Here is a 13,417-nt window from a genome sequence, read left to right on the forward strand (position 1 = left end):
CCCAACATCCTCACCCTCGGTTCAGAAACACAGGGCCCTGAGCACAGACCACACTGGTTCAAGCTCAGAGCCCAGAGTAAGCCTCTGCAAAAGCGCCAGTTCCTCCTCAGACACAGACAGAGTGGAGGTCCCCATCAGCGGTGCCTTTATTATCATAAACATTGGGAGCAAATAAATGGTACAGAAAGGGCAACAGGCCCAGTTCCTCTTCAGGAGAACTTCAGTGAATAAGCAAGAAATCAGGGTGAGGAAGAAAAAGGGGAGCCATGGCCTGAGCCTGGCTGGCTGGGCCCATAAGTCAACCACACAGCCCAGCTGCAGCTGGCTTATCCCTCCAAGGCACCACTGGTCCAGCTCTGCTAACCAGGACACAGATGGCATCTTGGTATCTCTTTCTTGCCTCTATATGCTTCTCACGCCTAGTACAGTGCCTTGCATGTAGTAGGTGCTCAATAAATGAAGAACCAGAGGATACAAGTGGGCCCTCCAAGAAACCATGACAGATGTAATTTACAAGGAAGAAAACTCTTGTTTAAGGAGGGTAATTTGCTCAAGGTCACATAGCTAGCAAGCCACAGAGCCAGGATTGGAACCCAGGCAGTCTAGTTCCTGAGCTGTGCTCCTCACCAGTCCGCTCTGCTGCCTTCCACATACTCAGTATTCTCATCAGCACAAACACACACTCACATAAATGGCACATACACATAACCCATGAAACACTCCCCATGTTCAGACAACACACACGCATGAAAAGCCAATTTATATACTTCGCACATACATGAGCACACAAATGAACGTCTAGTCACTCATTTTCTCAGCTGCACCCAGAACAGGGCTGGGCTCATCTAGGGCAAGGAGATCTCCGTGGTTCCAACTGGCCAGCCCAGATATACCCCTCACTGCTGCACCCCCTTACCTGGCCTCTAGGAGGCTTCCCTCCAGGAAGCCAGGTTCAATGCAGGAAGTGTACTGCAGTTGACAAAGTCCCGGGGATATGAGTTGGACATGAAGATGTTGTTCTTAGACACGGTGGTGATGCCTGTGTTGTCGCAGATGATCCGGGGCAATGAGATCTGGGCCAGGGCCTGTCGCTGCTGCATGCTGAACACACCCTCGTTCTCCCACCAAAACCTGCATGGGGAACACCCATGGACACTGTGCCCAAGGATATTCTGGGCTGGCAGGGCATCGATGGGCTTGTGCTGCTCCCAGGATATAACAAAGCCACAACAAATGCCACCTGGAAGCACAGGAGGGCCCCAGGCCCTTGGGCAGCCCAGGGGCTTTCACACAAGTGATGCTCCACTCATCGTGCAGAGTAAAGCACAGCTGCCCAGTGGCCTTTCCCTTACCCCTAGCCCGGCGGCCTCCAGGGCACCATGCTGGAGGGGGACCCGGGCCCACACACACTCCTGAAGCCCTGTGCCCTGGCCAGGAGCTGCATCCACAGGAGTGGAAGAGAATCTTGGGGGTGGTTTATAATTCGCCCACCCAGAGAGGGGCACCTTTTTCTAATTTTCCCAAAGGTGCAGTACAGGCTAAGCAAGAACTAGACATGAAGACATCAGGACCACGAGGAAATGACACTAAGGGGAGCTGTGGGAAAGCTGGGAGGGGACTGCCCACTGGTGACTGACACCCACATGGTGGCACAGTGAAACCCATGGGAAGAAGTAGCTAAGGGTGGCACTTTTCTATCTTCCACCCTTTACAACCAGGGGTCCAGGTCTTTCCTTGCTGCACCCCCAACAGGTTCAGGGCACATTAGGGGCACTCCAGGGCATCTGGAGGATTCCTGGAACACACTGGAAAATTACTGACTCCCTCCAGTCCTTCAACTGACAGGAGGAAATTTGGGCTCCAAGAGAGTCAAGGATGGGCCCACAGCCACCCAGCGGCCCACGACGCCTGCCCCTCCTCACCGATCACCATCCCGGAGCTTCCTGAACTGGGTACCGATGATGCAGGCGAGGAGTGGGCCCACGCGGCCTTTGCGCTTCAGAGGCTCGGACACGCCGCCCATCCAGATGTCGATGTTGTTGGGCGTGCCATACTGCTCCATCAGTTTCCTCGCCAATTTCAGGTTCCTCAGCACCGTGCCCAGCTGGCCCACAGTTTCAGGCTGCGGGAGCCCACAGAAGCGCCTCCAGGCATTGTATCCTGCATGGGGGAGGGGACAGGTGGCTATGGGCAGGTCTCTCTGCTTCAAGGTGGGGAGGTCACTGGAGACAGCAGGGAAGATTCACATATCGCCAGCAGCCCAGAAAACCCACCTTCCCAACACAACCAAGGTCATAGAGGGAGGGAAGGACCTCACCTCAAGGAACCCTGTACCTTTGGCTTAGACCAAGGGGCACAACTGGGCCTCTCTGGGACCCTCTCTGTCTTTCTCTTGCCCTCCTACCATAAGGCAAACCCTAAACTGCCACAGTTCCTGCTGGGTCCAAGAATAGGGACATCTCCTTGTCCCCCTCCAGAGCAGCCCGATGTGTCTGTCTCTGACCCATGAGAGGTGAAATGTGTCTAGAAGCCTCAGCCACATGGGCTACCCCATAACATAGGCACAGGCTTTGAGGTTAGGCTAATCTGGCTTCAAATTTCAGCTTTGCCACTGACTTGGCTAGAGAACCTGGCCAGGTTCTGAATCTCATCAAGCCTCAGTTTCCTCATCAGTAAAATGAAGGCAATAATAATCTCTTCCCCCAGAGTTAACGTACAATGAAGCAAAATGGAATGATGACAGAGACAGATTTTCAGACTGTGGGTTATCATTATGATGACGATGCCCCTAATATGAGAATTACAGCATGCAAAGGAGGTTGAGAGGAGCTGGAAATTTATCAGGTGGGTCCGGGAAAAGGCAGGGGCCTGGCCTCAGGCTACTTCCTGAGAGCAAAGTGCCTCTAATATGCTTTGGAGAGGGCAGGGACCCTAGAGTGGGAAGGGGGGTGATGGGCTACCTAGGAGGCAGCTCAGGGGAGGTGAGCATCAGGGGAGACTCCTGCAGCCCCTCACCTGGGAGGCCGTGGTCCCTGCTGCGCTGCATGTTCAGAGCAGGCAGGTCCAGCCCAATCCTCATGACCTGCTCAAACAATCGCTCCCGGATCTCATCCACTGCAATTTGGTTCTGACGATTCAGCTTGGCAGGGGTGGCCATGAGGCCCCGGAGGATGGGGTCAATGCCACCTGGGGACCAGAGGAGCCAGGTCAGGGGAAGTATCTGGCTCAGTATCAGAGCTCAGATTGGAGTCAGGGACAAGTCCAGGTAGGGTCAGGAGGATTCGAGAAGAGGGCTGGGCACAAGCAGTGCCTGGTGCCAAGGTGGTGGCCCCAGTGAGCAGGTCCTCACCGGTCACTACATGACCCCAGGGACATATAGGTCTCAGGAGATTATGCCATTCAGACTTGCAAGATTGGGATGCTCCCAGGCCCTGGCTTCCTGGGTCACAGCGAGCCACAACACATAGGAAGTAGCCAGTTCCCTCTGAGGGCCATCCCCACCCCACTGTTTATTATCAGATATGGAAGCAGAGTCAGAGGAACTGAGGCTAGAGAGTCAGACCAGATCTCCAAGATGGGAGGAAAGCAGACTGCTCCCCACCCTAGCTCCCTAGAGCCAAGGTGATCCCTACCCCACCTTTAGCTGTCAGCCCACTCGCTCCTGGCCTAGGTCCTGCTTACCTTCCAGCACGACCCTCCAGGAGGCAAAAAAGACCCTGCTGAGGGGGACACGGGGGTTGGGTTCCATGGGCTGGTACCGATTGTCCAGGCGGAACATGAAGGGTTGGATGAGGGTGTGGCCGTAGCGGAAGGCATTGGTGAAGACGTTGGCGATGCGTGGGTCCACTGAGTCATTGTAGGAACGGTACGTGGGCAGGTACTTCCTCATGGCCGTTGGCCCCAGCACCAGGGGCAGGTAGTCCCGGTAAGTGATGATCTAAAGACAAGTCATTTGGAATGGCCTCTCCACCCACTCCTCCACAGCAAATGCCGCCTGGCAGCACAGGAGGGCCAGAGTCTCTGCCTGCTCTTGGCTTCGGGGACCCCTTCCATCCCTCTATGGTCAGGGAATAGCCTCCCACAATACCGGACCTGGGCCTAACAGAGTGGCACTGAGAGGCATAAATAGAGTTCTACTGCTTGCTGGCTGGGTGACCTTGGACCAATTATTAACCTCTCTGAGCCTGAGTTCCTCAAATGTACATTAAGGATAATTATATTGCCCTCTGCCTTAGAGGACTAAATAGCAAATCACTTTTTTAGTCATTGTGATAACTTCCTTGTCCTCAAGTTATTAATGTCTCATTTCTGCAACTATCTTATAAAGTCCTTGAGAGCAAGGGAAATTGAAGTTGTTGAAATTCTTCACAGTGCCCACCAAGTGCCTGCCCACAGTAAGGCTCAGTTTAGGTTTGTGGAAAGCAGGGAGGCAGGAAGGAACGAAGGGCCATTCTGGCATGATTTTCCCTGTGAAAAGTGAAGACATGGAATAGTCTCACTCTACATTCTAGAGTCTAGAAGTTATTTTGGAGTGTAAATGAATTTCACTTGAGTTCTTAGTGCAAATCAAAAACTCACCCTTAGCACCGAAAACTCTCTCCTCCAGAATCTAGGAGTGTGTGTGTGTGTGTGTGTGTGTGTGTGTGTGTGTGAGTGTGTGTATGTCTGCCTCTGCCTCTGAGGGAGAGGGTGGGGGCAATGAAGCACCAGATGTTGAGAGACAGAACCAGGAACATTGCCCCAGGGGTAAATGAGGCTAAGGACATTGGGTGGATTATGACAGAGCCAAAAAGAAGAGGTGAGTGGGCTGAACACAGTGACTCGTGCCTGTAATCCCAGGGATTTGGGAGGTCGAGGAGGGCGGATTACTTGAGCCCAGGAGTTTGAGACCACACTGGGTAACGTGGCGAAACCCCGTCTCTACAAAAAATACAAAAATTAGCCGGGCGTGGTGGCCCGTGCTTGAAATCCCAGCTACTCAGAAGGCTGAGATGGGAGAATGGCTTGAGCCTGAAAGGTGGAGGTTGCAGTGAGCCAAGATCGCACCACTGCACTCCAGCCTGGGCAACAGGGTAAGACCCTGTATCAAAAAATAAAAATAAAATAATAATAATAATTTTTAAATTTTATTTTATTTATTTATTTATTTTGAGATGGAGTCTCGCTCTGTCACCCAGGCTGGAGTGCAGCAGCGCCATCTCAGCTCACTGCAAGCTCTGCCTCCCAGGTTCACGCCATTCTCCTGCCTCAGCCTCCCAAGTAGCTGGGACTACAGGTGCCCGCCACCACGCCCGGCTAATTTTTGTATTTTTAGTAGAGATGGGGTTTCACCGTGTTAGCCAGCATGGTCTTGATCTCCTGACCTCGTGATCCACCCGCCTCCGCCTCCCAAAGTGCTGGGATTACAGGCATGAGCCACCGCGCCCAGCCCTATAATTTTTTTAATTTTAAAAAGAAGAGGTGAGTGGGTAAAGGAGCTAAGAGTGACAGTGAGATGGAGGGAAGAAGAATTTACTGAACAGCTACTTGGGCGCTAAACCAAACATTCAACCCTCCCAACACCAATAACAGACCCACAGGAAAGAAGACTGCAGGGAGCAAACCTGCGAAGAAGGAGAGGGAAGGGAAGGAGGCTTTGTCAAGCACTTACTATCTGAAAGGTGTTTTCATATATGTATTATAATCCTTACAGCCTCATGGATGAAGAAGGCAAGGCTCAGGAGCGTTAGGAACTTGCCCAAGGTCACACAGCTAGGATGTTGCAGGGACACATCTGGATCCCGTGTGCCCGGTGTTCAAGACGGCCTACCTGGACCATGGCCCCCACGATCTTCCGGGCTTCCTGGTAGAGCCTCTCCCCATCCCACCTAGGGTTCAGGCTCTTGAGCTCTGTGGCCAGCCGGTTGTGCTCCCGAAGTAAGAGGGTGTGCATGGAGGTGAGCTCGGGCATCTCACTGGAACGGGTGTCCCCTTGGGGAGGCAAAAGCCACTGTCATTCTTAAGGCCTCCATCCCAGAAAAGATTTGCTCCACTGAAACCCCCTCCCCAGCCAAGGCCTGAAATGCCTCCTACTCACCCCTCCTCCCCATCCATCTTTTCAAACTATCCCCAATTTACACTCCTCTAGGAGGCCTTCCCTGATGCCCCAGTCCACAATGATAGCTTCTGCCTCAGCTCAGGGCCGCTGCTGGTTGGGGATGCTCATTCAATAGGTATCACTTCCAACACATGACATGCCACTTTCCTGTACCTGAAACTGGGAGCTCCTTGAGCACAGGACCAAGGCTTGTGCCTTTTTATATTTTACCCTCCCTCCTAGCACACATATGGATACATGGGGCTTAACAGAGTGCCTGGTACAAAGTATGAGACTTATGAACACTGCTTGGTTCATTGATTCTCTTGATTCCAAGGAGTGTCTGGGAAGAAGCATGCGTGTTGGCACAGCCTACATCCATGCCCATGTCTGATGCAGCTAACGATCACAGCACTCTTTCCTGCTAAAATTGGATGCAACCTCAGAATCCTTCTCAACACAGGACTCCAGAAAGCCACTACCATTTGAACAGAGTTGTCAGCCCTGCCCTTTACTACATGCCAATGGTGCAGCCTGCCCCAGGGGAGAGGGCTAGGACATGAGATATGTGGAGTCCACACCTGAGACTGTTCAAGAAAACTAAGCAGATCCCCCCTGGTTCCCCTAGTCCTCCCAGAACCCTTCTCTGCAGGGGCCAGAGGGCTAGGGTCAGGACACTAGGGTCAGTCCTTGCCAGCTCTAGAAGCTGGTGGAAAGGAAATTCTCTGAGAGCAGCATCTCCATCCATGAACAGCTAGAGGTCATAATGACCCAGGCTTGGGACATGGGGCTCATCAAAGCCAGGCTGTGGGCAGCTGAGTCTGGCTAAGGAGGGCTGCCCTTGCCTAACTAGCCCAGAAGAGGTCGGGCATCTCTTGCAGAAAGTCCGACCTGGATCCTCCTCCCAGGGTCCCAGCCAGGGAGAGACCAGCAGGAACCATCAGGAGGAGGCAGAGGGAGGCCAGAGGAAAGGGCCTGAGGTCCACTATTGGGTTTACATTTAAAAACACTGGAAAATGGCTGCGTGCGGTGGCTCACACCTGTAATCCCAGCACTTTGGGAGGTTAAGGTGGGCAGATCATGAGGTCAGGAGTTTGAGACCAGCCTGGCCAACATGGTAAAACACCATCTCTACTAAAAATACAAAAAATTAGCCAAGTGTGGTGGCAGGCGCCTGTAGTCCCAGCTACTCAGGAGGCTGAGGCAGAAGAATCACTTAAACCCAGTTGGCAGAGGTTGCAGTGAGCCGAGACTGTGCCACTGTACTCAAGCCTGGGTGACAGAGTGAGATTCCGTCTTAGAAAAAAAAAAAACACTGGAAAATGTCTGGTCATGGCTGCCATCACTGCCCCAATTGTGTCTCCAAAACTGCCAATTGTTTACATTTAAAATCCCATCATCTCTTATTATGGGTAATTAAGATGCGCAGGAGGGGATATTTTGGAGCAGTGTGGTCCAACTCAACCTTCCGAGATGATGAAAATATTTTACATCTGTGCCACCCAATAGGGGGAGCCACTAGACTGTAAGGCAATTGAGCATTTGAAATGTGGTTAGCACCGCTGAGAAACTGGGTTTATTTAATTTAAAATAACTAAAATTAAAATAGCCACATGCAGCTAGTGGCTACCACATTGGATAGTGTCGCTCTAGAGGGTGAGGGCACCACAGCGTTCTCTGTCCTTTAGTTCCCTGCCCCTGAGGGATTTGACTCTCTTGTCTTCCAGAGTCCAGAAGGGAAAAAAGGGACAGAGAAAGCAATGGACTGATGGACAGAGGCTCCTCAGCCATGCCTGGGTCTCCATCTTAGGGTTGGAGAGGTTGTTTGCTTTTCTGCTTTTCTGGCTCCATCTGACTTGTTACCAAGGCAACTGGATTAATATCATGAAGTTGATAGTAATGGCTGGTGAGGACAGTCTCTCTAAGTACAAACCCACAAGCTGCTCACAAACAGACTCACTGTGGCTCCAACAGGGAACATCTCCTATGCCACCTCTGGTCCCCACCCCAAAGCTGACCTGCCAGGAAGCAGGGGATGCGCGCTGAGCGGTTGGTGAGGAGACAGGGGTCATCGTGCAGGTTGTCAAAGGGCAGCAGGGCCCGGCCGTTGTCTTGGAAGCGCTGGTTGACGGCCAGCAGCCCCAGCTGGTTGGACATGTTGCGCAGGTTCCTGGCCAGGGGCTCCTCGCTGCCGTACACCATGCTGGCGTCCACGAAGGAAGTGAGCGCGTTGATCTGGTTGCGGATGGTGATGTTGCTCCCGGGGCAAGCCGGGCAGGAGCGGAAGAACGGGATGCAGTCGGCTTGGTTCTTGATGCGGGGGTCATTGGGCGGGATCTGAGGCACAGAGAGAGGCTAGACTGGCTCACCGAGGGCAAGGAAGGTGCCCAGGCAGAACTGGATCTCCCCCTGCCCTCAGGACCTCTGGTACCCTCAACCTGCAGAGAGGCCTCCGGAGGCCCGAAAGGGATCGCTGCCTAGGGCGCCATCAGCAACAGCCTCTGAGGTGCAGGGTTAATGAGCAGAACACTGAACTGGGAACCTGGGCAACCCCTGGGTCTGGGCACCGCCAGGCCTCGGATCCCTCCTCACTAAAGCGTCGCCCGTCTCTCTCCCCTTCTCTCTGCTGTGCCTGCTCTCCCTCTGGCCCTGACATTCTCCTGTCTGTCTCTCCCTCTCTCAGGCGCTCTCTCCTTTCTCTCCTCCTCCTTCCCTACTCAGCAGTGCCTCGACCACCCTGCCCACTCCCAGCCCTGTCCCACGGCACCCACCAGACCCCCAGGCTCTCTCTTTCTGTGTGATGGGGGTTGGGGCTGCCCTCTCAGTGGGGCGGAAACAGGACTGAGCATGGAGGCTTGGGGGGCACTGAGAAGGTCTCCTCCCAGAACCCTCTCCCAACCTAACAAAGAGCCAGTGATTCCACCAACAGGACTCCTGTCAGCCAAGGAGGAACAACCCTCTCTCCCTTGGCCTGCCAGAGGCAGTGAGCAAATGGACGGCCCTGGCTGCCAGCTGGCTGAGCCCAGGCGCAGGAAGGAGACAGGTCATAGCTGAGCAGCCAGTGCTGTGGACACAAGGGAGGCAGGGCCAGCCTTCCTCAGCGTCTGGGAAAGGAAACCTGGGCACAGAAGGGAGATGGCCCCTTCCAGAAACAATCTCCCCTCTCCCAACCCAGGCAGTGGGCGGGAAGCAGGGCCACCTTGAGCGGGAAGCAGGGCGGCTGCTGAACGCAGCTGGTCTCGCAGTTGACGCCAGTGACGAAGGAGGCCCGGGCGGCCGGCTCAGGGGTGAAGTCGAGGTCGTGGTCCAACAGCTGGCCCCATTGCATGAACATGAGTGAGCGCTCCTGGTCCGGAGTCAGCTGATCAGTGGGGAAGCGCACGATCTCGTTGGAGACCGCGCGAGCCTGCGGGACACGGAGATCAGCTGGCGCCTGGGTCCGCGCACCGCGTGGCCGGGCCTCGCCCCCTCTGCCCGCCGGCGCTCACCAGAGCCACCGGGAAGCCGTTGCGCTTGACCCCGGGCGTCCAGCCGTAGGGAAGAGAGAAGCCGTCCTCATACTCCGCCGGCAGCCAGCGCACAAAGGCACGGTTGGAGGCCCCCAGCGTGGGGCTGCGTCTGCAGGGGAGGACAGGGCGCTGACACCGGGAGGCTTGTGGCGTCCGGGACGCCTCTCTGAGCCCGGTTCCTGCAGCCACCCCCAGCCAGCCGCACCTGTTGTTGCACATCCCGGTGATGGTGCGGTATTTGTCCTGCTCCGGGCAAGTCACCCCCACGTCCTGGTAGGCGCAGCCGCTTGACTTGGACAACACATTCAGCTGGGCGGGCGTCAGCACATCTGCCGGGGGAAAGAACAATGGGGGAGCTGAGCCGCCTCACTTCCTATCCCAGGCAACCTGAGGCTGAGGAGCCCTGGAGACTCCTGAGACTCCCTGGAGGAAGAAGTTGAGGGGATCACTGAGAGACGGCTGGGGTCCCTAGGAGGAGTCACTAGTGGAGCAGGGACCTGGGGTGTGATGGGCAACAGTACCAGTGACATTGAATGGCCTTCGCCACAGGGACCGCAGCTTCCTCTCCAGCAGGTCTAGAGCCACGTGCAGGTAGTCAGCGGCCCTCACCGCCGTCCTGGTGGCTGCCACCGGCTGCTTGAAGTAGGATAGGAGTTCCATGGGGCTGGCTGAGCCGCTGCGAAGCCGCTGCTTGATGCTGCTTGGAGAAAGGAGGAGTGAGGGCCAGAGAAGGGATACAGACCCACCCAGCAGAGCCCCAGCCCAGGGGCAGACATGCAGGACCATGCAGGCAGGCCCACGGGTGGGAGGAAGGCTTCCTTTTATAAAAAGGATATGGACCTGGGTGTCCAGACAGAGGCAAGGCTTTGGGAAGGATGGCTTTTAAGCTGTTCTCCCATCCAGAAACACAGGGACAGACAGACAGAAAGGGAGTCCACATGGGTCCCCATAGTCCCCCTCTCCCACCTTCAAGCTCCCTGCTGCCTGCTGCTTCTCTGAAAGGCCTGGGACATCCTTGCCCAGAGCTGGGCAGTGCCTCGTGCCCCACCTTTCCCGCCGCTCCTTGTAGGCCTTGTCCACCAGCTGCTTGGCCTCCTCCATGGAGCTCAGCACCAACGAGGTGTCCACCTCCCCCAGGACAGCTGCCCAGAGCAGGGATCACAAAGTCAGGAATGGGCCCCAACCCCCTATCAGGCCCCAGAGCTAGGAAGGCCTGCTCTGAGAAAAGGGGTCTCTGGAACACAACCACCCCAACACACCATCTTCTCCCACCTTGGGAACTGTTACCTGGAGCAGCACCTTCAGAGGGCTGGGGCGTGGCCAGAATGGCCAGGAGCCCTGCTAGGGCCAGAAGCAGCTTCATCTCTGCAGTGAGACCCCCAGCCCAGCAAGGTCCTAAGTCCACCATGCATCTGAGAGAAGAGAAGAAGGGAACCCCCATCTCTCTTCTCCTGGGCTGCTCAATCCCCCTTTGTACCTCAGCCCCACCTCAGAGGGCCCTGTCTATGGATAAAGCCAGACCTCCTTGAGGGAGGGGCTCACTGCTCTCTTATCCCCTTGCCAGCTGCTGTCATCCAGCTTCCAAGGACCCCACCTCCACAGCTCACCTGATATTGTCAGCTCCTCTTAGCTCAATCTGCGCTTTTATGTCCTCTAAGCTGGGGGTGGGGTGAGGTAGAGGAAGGTCTGATCCTGGAGACTGAACTCTTTCTCCTCCCCCACTGGGGTTGGAAGGTACACACAGAGGGGCCCCTGAAATGGGGGGAAGGGGCAGGAAAGGAGGGGCCAGCATTGTCCCCAGCCTTTTTTTTTTTTTTTTTTGAGACGTTATCTTGCTCTGTTGCCCAGGCTGATGTGCAATGGTTCAAGCGATTCTTCTGCCTCAGCCTCCCGAGTAGCTGGGATTACAGGTGCCCGCCACCACGCCCTAGCCTCTAGCCACATCATCAATTATTTCCTTAGGCAAGAAGTAATTTTTGTATTTTTCCTTAGGCAAGAAGCTAATTTTTGTATTTTTAGTAGATACAGGGTTTCACCATGTTGGCCAGGCTGGTCTTGAACTCCTGACCTCAAGTGATCCACCCGCCTCAGCCTCCCAAAGTGCTGGGATTACAGGCATGAGCCACTGGCCCCAGCCTGTCCCCAGCCTTTGAATTTAGCACTACCAGCCCAAGATTTCTCAGCTCACCATTGTGTGCCTATACCAGTGCTTGTCCCCAGGGGATACACACAACTAACCCCTCTGAAATTCTGGTTACACTGGTTATCCAGGGTTCCTTTGAAAGGAACAAAAGTCAGGAACTGGTAGCCCAAGGAATTGCAGGGAATAGAGTGCCCCCAGGGAAGACAGGAGGATGAAAGGGAGACCTGGAGTAAAGATGACCCAATTGGCCTCAGGTGGCCATCCCCCACTCCAACAGTAACCTGCATCCAACAGCCACCCAATGGGCAGCCTCTGGTTCTTGGTGGGGCTAAGGGGACAGGAAATCTGGCTGGAGACCGTTGGGCTTCACAGGAAGGAGGACCCTGGGGACTGTGGGCGCAGGACCAAGATAACTTCCTCTATCCCTCCTCACTCCCCTTTCTTCTTGGCTTCTGGTAGAGGGCTGTCTCCAAACTCCTCCTCCCCACCACCATCTGCTCCTGGATTTCAGGAACCAGGAGAGAGCAGAACTGGTTGTGGTTAGTGATCAGTTAGGTGATGCAGCCCAGGGCCTCTCTGGGACAGGATCAGTGCAGTTGGGAGGACTTGGGTTAATGATTCAGAATAATTCTGAAACAGAAGAGGATATTTCTTGCTTGAGAAAGCCCAGCAAAAGGGCCACCAATCTCAGCAGGAAAAGTACTACGACTTTTGACTGAATCAGTCTACCTCTCTGGGCCCTGGTCAGGCTGAGCTCGTGCCAACCATGCCTCCCATGTCCCATTTAGGTTCCCCCTCCTACCTTCAGCCACCTTCCCGCCACCCACTCTTTTTTTTTTTTTTTTTTTTTGAGACAGGGTCTCTCACTGTTGGCGGAGCTGGAGTACAGTGGTGCAATCTCGGCTCACTGCAACCTCTGCCTCCTGGGTTCAAGCAATTCTCCTGCCTCAGCCTCCCAAGTAGCTGGGATTACAGGCGCCCGCCACCATGCCCGGCTAATATTTTGTATTTTTAGTAGAGATGGGGTTTCAACATGTTGGCCAGGCTGGTCTCAAACTCCTGACCTCCTCCTGATCCACCCACTGTTGGGATTACAGGCGTGAGCCACCGCGCCCGGCCCACTCTTGTCTTCTATGCCCAGACCACCTCTTGGCCAAGGGACAAGGGACAGCAACACCCAGAATATCTTCCCAGTGTGTCCAGGGATTCTGTCCCCTGCTGAGAAGGGGAACCAAGCTTTTGCCCTGCCAGTGACTTGCTGTGTGTGAAGTTGGTCGAGTGGCTCTTTGTGAATCAAGCTCTAGAATTTTAGAGGCTTTTGGAAATGATTTTTCAATCCTTTAAGTAATATAATTTTCACTGATGAAAAGTTTGAGAACACGAGTATGCAAAAATAAAAATAAATCAAAATTACTCATCATCAAGTGAGATTGTGGGTACTTTTTTCTTTCAAGGTTTATCATTGTCTTCACATAAATAAACAATAGGAAGGAAAATAATTGCCCATAATCCCACCACTCACCAATACCTCATTTAAGAATTTGATATCCTATATGTAAACATAATATATATTTTTAAATATTGATAAGAAGAACTTTAAATATTGTTTTACCATCTACTTTCGGTACTTAACAATTTTAGTCTGAGCATCTCCCTGTGTCAATAAATACAGGTTTACTTCATTTTTAT

General features: G+C 54.0%; 1 protein-coding gene across 1 annotated transcript, besides 24 other annotated features; it reads right to left on the bottom strand.

Annotated features, from left to right (window-relative positions):
• MPO (myeloperoxidase) lies at positions 123 to 11,203 on the bottom strand. Its single transcript, NM_000250.2, has 12 exons — positions 10,873 to 11,203; positions 10,634 to 10,727; positions 10,107 to 10,282; positions 9,791 to 9,914; positions 9,565 to 9,694; positions 9,276 to 9,482; positions 8,095 to 8,413; positions 5,810 to 5,970; positions 3,682 to 3,937; positions 3,016 to 3,186; positions 1,923 to 2,160; positions 123 to 1,131 (listed from the first exon to the last, which is right to left on the bottom strand). Exons 1-12 carry the CDS (start codon positions 11,024 to 11,026, stop codon positions 924 to 926), a joined length of 2,238 nt encoding a protein of 745 aa, NP_000241.1. The 5' UTR covers positions 11,027 to 11,203; the 3' UTR covers positions 123 to 923.
• Positions 2,523 to 4,512: an enhancer, noted in NCBI's record as "fragment J". NCBI's record gives the evidence for it as "EXISTENCE:reporter gene assay evidence [ECO:0000049][PMID:8390465]".
• Positions 2,523 to 7,730: a biological region, named in NCBI's record as "enhancer region in introns 7-9 of MPO".
• Positions 3,002 to 3,759: an enhancer, noted in NCBI's record as "KpnI/PstI fragment (J2)". NCBI's record gives the evidence for it as "EXISTENCE:reporter gene assay evidence [ECO:0000049][PMID:8390465]".
• Positions 3,129 to 4,328: an enhancer, noted in NCBI's record as "P300/CBP strongly-dependent group 1 enhancer chr17:56350222-56351421 (GRCh37/hg19 assembly coordinates)". NCBI's record gives its function as "activates an origin of replication core promoter dependent on BRD2, BRD4, P300/CBP, MED14 and CDK7 cofactors, with strong dependence on P300/CBP, by STARR-seq in HCT116 cells {active_cell/tissue: HCT116}" and the evidence as "EXISTENCE:reporter gene assay evidence [ECO:0000049][PMID:35650434]".
• Positions 3,332 to 3,367: an enhancer, noted in NCBI's record as "JKT41". NCBI's record gives the evidence for it as "EXISTENCE:reporter gene assay evidence [ECO:0000049][PMID:8390465]".
• Positions 4,514 to 6,780: an enhancer, noted in NCBI's record as "fragment E". NCBI's record gives the evidence for it as "EXISTENCE:reporter gene assay evidence [ECO:0000049][PMID:8390465]".
• Positions 6,775 to 6,894: an enhancer, noted in NCBI's record as "PvuII/XbaI fragment (PX)". NCBI's record gives the evidence for it as "EXISTENCE:reporter gene assay evidence [ECO:0000049][PMID:8390465]".
• Positions 6,775 to 7,730: an enhancer, noted in NCBI's record as "fragment F". NCBI's record gives the evidence for it as "EXISTENCE:reporter gene assay evidence [ECO:0000049][PMID:8390465]".
• Positions 6,833 to 6,854: an enhancer, noted in NCBI's record as "FERE27". NCBI's record gives the evidence for it as "EXISTENCE:reporter gene assay evidence [ECO:0000049][PMID:8390465]".
• Positions 8,862 to 9,551: an enhancer, noted in NCBI's record as "H3K27ac-H3K4me1 hESC enhancer chr17:56355955-56356644 (GRCh37/hg19 assembly coordinates)". NCBI's record gives its function as "activates a minimal SCP1, AML or CMV promoter by ChIP-STARR-seq in primed H9 embryonic stem cells {active_cell/tissue: H9 hESC(primed)}" and the evidence as "EXISTENCE:reporter gene assay evidence [ECO:0000049][PMID:30033119]".
• Positions 9,856 to 10,656: a DNaseI hypersensitive site, noted in NCBI's record as "HS-4; HL-60 promyelocytes; the nucleotide coordinates are approximate for this feature". NCBI's record gives the evidence for it as "EXISTENCE:in vivo cleavage assay evidence [ECO:0001075][PMID:1845843]".
• Positions 9,856 to 12,702: a biological region, named in NCBI's record as "MPO proximal enhancer and promoter region". NCBI's record gives its function as "regulatory_interactions: LOC106677019 | MPO".
• Positions 10,694 to 11,794: a DNaseI hypersensitive site, noted in NCBI's record as "HS-3; HL-60 promyelocytes, KG-1 myoblasts; the nucleotide coordinates are approximate for this feature". NCBI's record gives the evidence for it as "EXISTENCE:in vivo cleavage assay evidence [ECO:0001075][PMID:1648980, PMID:1845843]".
• Positions 11,193 to 11,333: a promoter, noted in NCBI's record as "-128 to +11 minimal promoter; P1". NCBI's record gives the evidence for it as "EXISTENCE:reporter gene assay evidence [ECO:0000049][PMID:7769848, PMID:9001423]".
• Positions 11,193 to 11,787: a promoter, noted in NCBI's record as "-583 to +11 promoter". NCBI's record gives the evidence for it as "EXISTENCE:reporter gene assay evidence [ECO:0000049][PMID:7769848]".
• Positions 11,201 to 11,237: a protein binding site, noted in NCBI's record as "HBP1 binding site". NCBI's record gives the evidence for it as "EXISTENCE:protein binding evidence [ECO:0000024][PMID:11368363]".
• Positions 11,702 to 12,702: a DNaseI hypersensitive site, noted in NCBI's record as "HS-2; HL-60 promyelocytes; the nucleotide coordinates are approximate for this feature". NCBI's record gives the evidence for it as "EXISTENCE:in vivo cleavage assay evidence [ECO:0001075][PMID:1648980, PMID:1845843]".
• Positions 11,726 to 12,127: a promoter, noted in NCBI's record as "-523 to -924 promoter; P2". NCBI's record gives the evidence for it as "EXISTENCE:reporter gene assay evidence [ECO:0000049][PMID:9001423]".
• Positions 11,952 to 11,981: a protein binding site, noted in NCBI's record as "GRE-5". NCBI's record gives the evidence for it as "EXISTENCE:protein binding evidence [ECO:0000024][PMID:9287329]".
• Positions 11,952 to 12,051: a response element, noted in NCBI's record as "-1023 to -928 fragment". NCBI's record gives its function as "G-CSF-inducible and IL-3-repressive regulatory element" and the evidence as "EXISTENCE:reporter gene assay evidence [ECO:0000049][PMID:9287329]".
• Positions 12,012 to 12,237: a promoter, noted in NCBI's record as "1476 to 1701 minimal promoter fragment". NCBI's record gives the evidence for it as "EXISTENCE:reporter gene assay evidence [ECO:0000049][PMID:10639585]".
• Positions 12,022 to 12,051: a protein binding site, noted in NCBI's record as "GRE-1". NCBI's record gives the evidence for it as "EXISTENCE:protein binding evidence [ECO:0000024][PMID:9287329]".
• Positions 12,136 to 12,153: an enhancer, noted in NCBI's record as "GATAPU site". NCBI's record gives the evidence for it as "EXISTENCE:reporter gene assay evidence [ECO:0000049][PMID:10639585]".
• Positions 12,283 to 12,483: a promoter, noted in NCBI's record as "-1088 to -1271 promoter; P3". NCBI's record gives the evidence for it as "EXISTENCE:reporter gene assay evidence [ECO:0000049][PMID:9001423]".

Source organism: Homo sapiens, chromosome 17, assembly GCF_000001405.40.
Source record: "Homo sapiens chromosome 17, GRCh38.p14 Primary Assembly".
Classification (NCBI taxonomy): Eukaryota; Metazoa; Chordata; class Mammalia; order Primates; family Hominidae; genus Homo; species Homo sapiens.